General features: G+C 37.4%; 1 protein-coding gene across 11 annotated transcripts in view; it reads left to right on the top strand.

Moving 5' to 3' along the window:
* The window catches only part of SBF2 (SET binding factor 2), a 526,174-nt gene that overhangs the window by 244,841 nt on the left and 272,771 nt on the right, over positions 1-8,562 (top strand). The window lies entirely within an intron of this gene.

Genomic DNA, 8,562 nt, shown 5'->3' with positions numbered 1-8,562 from the left:
TTGGGGTTGATTTGTTCTTGCTTCTCTAATTCTTTTGCTTTGTGAAGTTAGGTTGTTAATTTGAGATATTCCTAACTTTTTGATGTGGACATTTAGTGCTATGTATTCTTCTCTTAACACTGCTTTAGCTGTGTCCCAGAGATTCTGGTATGTTGTATTATTGTTGTCATTAATTTTAAAGAACTTCTTTATTTCTGCCTCAATTTCATTATTTACCCCAAAATCACTCAGGAGCATGTTGTTTATTTTCCAAATAATTGTATGGTTTTGAGCAATTTTCATTGTGTTGACTTCTATTTTTATTGCACTGTGGTCCAAGAGTGTGTTTGGTATGATGTCGGTTCTTTTACATTTGTTGAGGATTGTTTTATGTCCAATTATGTGGTCAATTTTAGAGTATGTGCCATATGGTGATGAGAAGAATGTATATTCTGTTGTTTTTGGGTGGAAACTTCTGTAAAGGTCTATGAGATCCATTTGGTCCAATGCTGAGTTTAGGTCCTGAATATTTTGGTTAATTTTCTTGTTTAATTTAGGATAGTTAGGTCTTCTTGTTGAATTGAACCCTTTATCATTATGTATTGCTATTTCTTGTCTTTTTTTTATCTTTGTTGGTTTGAAACTTTTTCTATCTCAAATTAGTATTGCAACCCCTGCTTTTTTATTGGCTTGGTAGATCTTTCTCTATGCTTTTATTTTGAGCCTATGAATGTCATTACACATGAGATGGGTCTCTTGAAGACAACATATCATTGAGTCTTGTTTTTATCCAGCTTTATCCAGCTTGCTACTTTGTGCCTTTTAAGTGGGTCATTTAGCCTGTTTATATTTGAGGTTAATATTGTTATGTGTGGATTTGATCCTGTCATTGTACTGTTAGCTGGTTATTATGTTGTCATGTTTGTGTGGTTGCTTTACAGTGACACTGGTCTGTGTGTTTAAGTGTGTTTTTGTATTAGCTGGTAGAAGTCTTTCCTTTCTATATTTAATGTTCCTTTCAAGATCTCTTGTAAGGCAGGTCTGATGGTAATGAAGTCCCTCAGTATTTGCTTATCTGAAAAGGATCGTATTTCTCCATCATATAGGAAGCTTAGTTTGGCTGGATATGAAATTCTTGGTTGAAGGTTTTTTTCTTTATTAATGTTGAATATAGGCCCCCAATCTCTTCTGGCTTGTAGGATTTCAACTGAATGGTCTACTGTCAGCCTGATGGAGTTCCCTTTGTAGGTGACCTGCCCTTTCTCTCTAGTTGCCTTTCACATTCTTTCTTTCATTTTGAAAATCTGATGATTATGTGTCTTGGGGATGATCTTCTTGTGTAGAATGTTGCAGGAGTTCTCTGTATTTCCTTAATTTGACTGATTGGCCTCTCTAACAAGGTTGGGGAAGTTTTCATGGACAACATCCTGAAATATATGTTCCACGTTGTTTGCTTTCTCCCCCTCCATTTCAGAGATGCCAGTGATTCATAGATTTCTGTTTACATAATCTCATACTTCTTGAAAGTTTTGTTCATTCCTTTTTATTCTTTTTTCCTTATTTTTGTCTGACCATCTTTTTTGAGAGAACCAGTCTTCAAGTTCTGAGATTCTTTCCTCAGTTTGATTTATTCTACTCTTAATACTTGTGATTGCATTGTCAAATTCTTATATTGTGTTTTTCAGCTCTATCAGACCTGTTAGGTTCTTTTTCATACTAGCTATTTTGTCCTTTGGCTCCCATATCACTTTATTGTGATTCTTATTTTCCTTGGATTGGGTTTTGCCATCCTCCTGAATCTTACTGATCTTTGTTCCTATCCATATTCTGAATTCTATTCGTCAATCCATCCAGTTTGGCCTAGTTAAGAACTCTTGTTGGAGAACTGGTGCAGTCATTTGGAGGACATATGACAGACTCTCTGGACCATTGGAGTTAACAGAGTTCTCGCACTGTTCTTTCTCATCTCTGTGTGTGGGTGTTTCTTTAATTGCAGTGTAGATTGAGTACACTCAATAGACTTCTTTTCTGGATGTTTTCATCAGGCCAGGACTTTGTGTAGGGTCTTTATTTGAAGCTGACTTCTTGTCTCTGGTTTTAGAGGGGGATATGTTAGTGAGGTATTTTTGGTGTTAAGGCTTTGGGGTGTGATCCAGCAGGTGACACTTAGGCTTATTGGTCAGTTGGTTGATTCTTGCTTGGTTGTGTGGCTTCCCTATGTTTCCTCACAGTTGTAGCCATGTTCCCTCTCAGTGCTTTGAAAGTATGGGCTCCTCTCCCACTTGAGTACTGGCTGTAGTTCATGACTTGGTACTCCTGGGCTGCCCACTGCAACTTTGGGGCAATCTCTGTGTTTATGTTCCTTCCTCAGCTTAGAGGCAGCAGAGGAAGAAATCTTAGTAGTGGTTGTGGCCAAGGGTCATTTGCTTGACTCCTGGAGGCTCCACCCCAGAGAGATGCAGGTCAGCAATCACTCAGTGCAATCATCCCAGGATAGAGAGTTTGCGCTGTGGGCCCAAGCCAGGGGTTCCCTGTCTGATGACAAGATATGGGGGGTTTGTGGGACCCATGGGAGAAAGACTGGCCTCCTCTCCTTGGGTCAGCTGCCACTTGTTGGAGGTGTGGATAAGGTACTTAGGGTCTTTGCTCCTTTGTTAGTCCAAGGGTGACAAGGGCAGTTACATTGCAGAGGTAGTGGCAGAGAGGCTGTGTCCAGGGTGTTGCTGAGTTGGTACTGGCTTGATAGTTCTGGCAGGGGGTGGCTGGAGGCTCAGGCCTGGAGGACCTGCACAGTGAGGAGATATGGGAACAGGCACCCATGTAACAGTCTGGCCACTTTTCCATAGGGCTGCTACAGTATGCTTGGGGCCCGCTGCAGTCTCTAGTCACCTCAGATTTTCCAGAACCTAGAAGTGTCACCAGTGAAGGCTGTGAAACAGCAAAGATGGGAGCGTGTTTCTCCCTCTGGGAGCTTTGTCCCAGGGAGGTACAGACCTGTTGCTGGCCCAAAGGCACCTGTAGGAAGTTGCTGGAGACCCTTTTTGGGAGGTCCCACCCAGTGAGGAGGAACGGGATTGGAACTGCTTAAAAAAACAGTCTGGCCACATTTTAATAGAGCAGTTGTGCTGTGCTGGGGTCCATTTCAGCCCCCAGTTGCCTCAGACACTCCAAAGCCCAAAGACTAGAACGGTTAAGTCACCCAAACAGCAAAGATGGTGGCCAGCCCCTCCCTCTGGAGCACCATCCCAGGGGAAATTCAGTTCTCTGTTGGCTGGAAACCTCAGGCGAGGGTGGCTGGAGGCCCTGGTTGGGAGGTCCTGCTCAGTGATGAGGAACAGGATTACCCACTCATGTAAAGCAGCAGTGTGGCCACTTTTTGTTAGAACTGCTTCTTCAGCTAATAAACATCTTCAGCAAAGTTGCAGGATACAAAATCAATATACGAAAATCACTAGGATTCCTATACACCAACAACAACCAAACTGAGAGCCAAATCAGAAAGGCAACCCCATTCACAACTGTGACACACAAAAATAATTACCTAGGAATACAGCTAACCAGGAAGGTGAAAGATCTCTACAATGAGAATTACAAATCACTGCTCAAAGAAATCAGAGAAGACACAAATGAATGGAAAGACATCCCATGCTCATATATAGGAAGAATCAGTATCATTAAAATGGCTACACTGCCCAAAGCAATGTACAGATTCAATGCTATTCCTAACAAACTACCAACGACATTCTTCACAGGACTAGAAAAAATTATTTTAAAATTTATATGGAACCAAAAAGGAACTTGAATAGCCAAGGCAAACCTCAGCAAAAAGAGCAAAGCTGGAAAAATCATGTTACCTGACTTCAAACTATAGTGCAAGGCTACAGTGACCAAAACAGCATGGCATTGGTACAAAAACTTTTCTTCTGTGGTCTTCATCTTGGAATTATTTTAAACTTATAATTAGTTTGCAGGGTATTTTTTCTGTTTTGTTTTTTCAAAACTTGAATGTTCAAAACTATTCCAAGTGTTTATTTTTCTCTTTAATTTTCTTCTTGAAATTTTTATATTTACTTCATTTTAAATTTTTTTATTTCAATAACTTTAGTGGGGTATAAGTGGTTTTTGGTTACATGGAAAGATTATATCATGGTAAAGTCTGGGATTTTAGTATACCCATTACCAAGATAGTGTACTATGTACCCAATAGGTAGTTTTTCATTTCTTACCCCATCTACCTTCCCCATTTCCCCACTTCTGGGACTCTATTGTCCGTTATACCACTGTATGCCCTTGCATAATCATAGCTTAGCTCTTACTTAAAAGTAAAAAATGTGGTATTTGGTTTTCCATTCCTGAGTTGTTTTTCTTAGGTAATAACCCTCCAGTTTAATCCAAGTTGCTGCAAAAAACATTATTTTGTTCTTTTTTATGAGTTAGTAGTATTCCATGGTGTGTGTGTGTGTGTGTGTGTGTGTGTGTGTGTGTGTGTGTGTGTGTATCATTTTCTTTATTTACTCATCTGTTGGTGGGCACTTAAGTTGATTCTTTATCTTTGCAATTGTGAATTGTGCTGTGATAAACATAATTCATGCAGGTGTCTTTTTCATATACTGAATTCTTTTCCTTTTGGTAAGACACCCAGTAGTGGGATTGCTGGATCAAATGGTAGATCTACTTTTAGTTCTTAGAGAAATTTCTTTACTGTTTACTCTAGAGGCAATTCTAATTTACATTCCCAGCAGCAGCATATAAGTGTTCCCTTTTTACCACATCCATGCCAACATCTTTTGTTTTTTTGACTTTTTAATAATAGCCATTCTGACCGGGCTTGGTGGCTCACACCTGTAATCTCAGCACTTGGGGAGGCTGAGGTGGGTGGATCACCTGAGGTCAGGAGTTCCAGACCAGCCTGGCCAGCATGGTAAAACCCCGTCTTTACTAAAAATACGAAAATTAACCAGGCATGGTGGTGCACGCCTATAGTTCCAGGAGACTGAGGCAAGATAATTGCTTGAACCTGGGAGGTGGAGGTTGCAGTGAGCCGAGATCTTGCCACCGCACTCCAGCTTGGGTGACAGGGCAAGACTGTCTCAAAACAAACAACAAACAAAAAAACAAAAAAAAAACATGCAAACAAATAAAAATAATGGGCATTCTCATGGTGGTATCTCGTTGTGGTTTTAGTTTGCATTTTCCTAATGATTAGTGATGTTGAGCATTTTTTCATGTTTCCTGGCCGTTTGTATATCTTCTTTTAAGAAATATCTGTTCATGTCATTTGTCCACTTTTTAATACGATTATTTGTTTTCTTCTTGCTGATTTAAGTTTCTTATAGATTTTGGATATTAGTCCTTGTCAGATCCATAGTTTAACAATATTTTCCTCCCATTCTATAAGTTGTCTGTTCACTCCGTTGATTATTTCTTTTGTTTTGCAGAAGCTTTTTTAGTTCAATTAGGTCTGCTTCATTTATTTTTGTTTTTGTTGCATTTACTTTCGGGGCCTTAGTCATGAAATTTTTAAATGTAAAGCCTTAATCTGTTCATGAGACTGATATACCAAAATATTCAAAACTTAGAAGTTAGGTTAGCTTATCCTTTGTCTTTGAGAACATATTAAGATTACAAATAGGATCTTTTTTCTAATTGCTTATTGCTGATGTCAAAGAAAACTTTTGATTTGTGTATGTTTGTATATCTGCCTACCTAAGTAAACTCTTACTAGTTGAAACAGTGTTTAGTCAGTTTGTATGTATTCTCTAGGCAGACAATCATATTATCTTACACGTAATGAAAGTTTTATTGTGGTGAGGACAATGCAAATGTTGTATAGTAGTAATAAAATATCTGGATGTAAATTTTTACCAAAAGCAATATAGGTGACCCATTTCAGTTAAGTTTCCATTTTAAGCAAATAATTTTGGATAGTCCCTTTTAAGTATATACTTTATCAAAAGCTGCTTATTAAAATTGGGCCTATATGTGACATGCATTATTCTGTAAAAACAAAATGTTTGAGATGTCACAAACTCTTAAATTGACTTCTCTTCCAAAGTCTTCTGCCCACTATATTTTCTCTGAACTTTTTTTTTTTTTGGTGGAAGAACAGAATCTCACTCTGTCACCCAGGCTCAAGTGCAGTGTCATGATCACAGCTCTCTGCACCCTCAACCTCCCAGGCTCAAGCAATCCTCCTACCCCAGCCTTCTGAGTAGTTGGTACTACAGGTGCATGCCACTACTCTTGGTTAATTTTTTTTTTTTTTTCCGAGACAAGGTCTCACTCTTCACCAAGGCTGAAGTGTGGTGGTGCGATCTCAGCTCATTGCAGCCTCTTATGCCTAGGCTCAAGTGGTCCTCTGGCCTCAGCCTCCCAAATTGCTGGGATTACAGGCATGAGCCACCAGGCTGGGTCTTTTTTCAAACTTTTGAAGAATATCTATATAATGTTCAGAGCACACATCTGACACTGCCCTGGCCTGGCTTGGCACAGACTTCAGTCTCCTAAAGCTTCTGTTACTTTATTCACAAATCAGTTCTTCTTTGGTCAGAATATAGTTTATAATAACAGTTCTTTGTTATCACTTCTTTTCTGTCCTCTTTAGAAATGTATCAGGAAAAACAAAACAATTTTGGGGTTGCTTAACCTTTAAAAAGGAATTCAAGGATAATTAAACATTTTTGTGCTCAACTTGTGCATGCTCTAGAAAACCAGTTCTATTTCCCTGAGAAAATAAAAAGACATATCTGGAAATATTTATATAGTACTATGCTTATTTCAGCATTAATTATAAAAAATTATAAACATCTTAACCAACAATAGGGAATTGGTTATGATATTTTATCTATATCTACATGATGGTATAATATTCAGTTATTAAAAATAATTATGTTAAAAATATATAAATACATGGGAAAATACATGTTATAGGAAGGGGAGAAAAACAGGATTCATAACTATATATACAATATGCCCTCCTTTGGATAAATACACACACACACATACATACATACATGCATACCTTCAGAGATAAATGGTTGCTAGGAAATGTTACATGTTACAAAATTTATTTCACTTTCATTTTATTTCTTAAGTTTTTCTGCCATGTATTTATATTAGCATAAAACAATATGCATAAGGTGATTTATGAAGGTAATTTAGAAGTGAAAGAACACGGTTTATAGAAATGCAGAGACTTGGATTCTAGTCCTGCCAGTGCCACAAACTCTTTATGACCTTAATGTCTAACAGTCTTGGTTTCATTGTTTGTAGAATGAGTCTTGTGAGATATGGTTATATATAAAATATCTTACAAACCTGAGAGATTATTATATTAGCACGTACCTTTTATTTGCAGATGGATGGCCTATTTGCAAGTTATCTACTTCATACATTTGGGCAATTAAACAAACAAGCAAGTAAACAAAGCGGGTGTTTGTAATGCATTAACATATAGAGTTTAGCAATGTCTAACAATTCCAGCCTTGCAAACTTGAAGTATAATTTGCTTATAGGTTATACTAAGTTCTTAAAGAAAACTAGAGATAAACAAAGACAGAAGAACATCCTGAAAAGGATTCCCACATTGCCTGTTCCCAGATACGTTGTTAACATTTTTATGGGCATGGTATGTGTGAAATGGTGAAGTCAAGGTAGAAGGGAGTTGTCAAAAACAAGTCGTTGCTCATACACTCATGCAGGTATCAAAACGGTATTGTGAGATTATGTGGTATGTTTTGCCATTACAAATATATGTGTTTTCTCAGTGACTTGAAAAAAGGAGGGCACAGTGTTAGGTCAGTCTGTTATGACAGTCGATTCTAAACATTTTGGGTTTTGCACCTGTGATAGCTTTTTTTTTTTCCTGTTTGCCTATAAAGACACTGGGGAGAGAAAAATCCTGATTTTTATCCTGTTTGTATAATGCTTATCATCCTGCTTACTATCTTTTAGTGACTACTCTCCAGCTGTCTAAACATTTTCCTCACATTCCTGTCAGAAGTGTGACTTAAACCCAGGTTCAAGAATTGTAATGTCCACATCCTCATTGTTTATTTCTCTAACACATTTTTAGTTAAGAATGGAAAAGACTAAACCAGCTAGCATTGTTATATTTGAAATCCAAATTCTATGAGGAGTACTTCTCATTAAATTGTGAGTTTGTATTCTGATACTCCCAAATCTATTATTGCTTAATCTTATGATACAGTGAATTTGAAAAAGACTCATTTAACTGCAGGTTAGGGTCATTTCTTTTCATCCTTTGAGAAAGAATTTTTGTAAACTGTGTAACATAGACTATGTCTATGTTACTGTATTTTATTTGAGAATATAGAATTCAAAATTTCCTATAAACTATGATTCTAATGGTATTTTTAAATGCACAATATATTTAATGTCATTTACGTGTGAAATAGAGGATCTCATACGTAACCAGTGTCTAGTTAACTATCTTAACAACCTCTTTGTGAAAAATTTAGTAAAAAAAATCTGACCAGGCCAACCATTAATTACTATACTATTTGAGCTGTGGTCACATTAAGCTGAGTTTTGAAGAAGTCTATTGGATTTGAAAATTGATCC

This window comes from Homo sapiens, chromosome 11 (assembly GCF_000001405.40).
Source record: "Homo sapiens chromosome 11, GRCh38.p14 Primary Assembly".
NCBI lineage: Eukaryota > Metazoa > Chordata > Mammalia > Primates > Hominidae > Homo > Homo sapiens.
The sequence above is the reverse complement of the archived record's forward strand: the minus strand, read 5'-3'. Positions and strand labels throughout refer to the sequence as shown.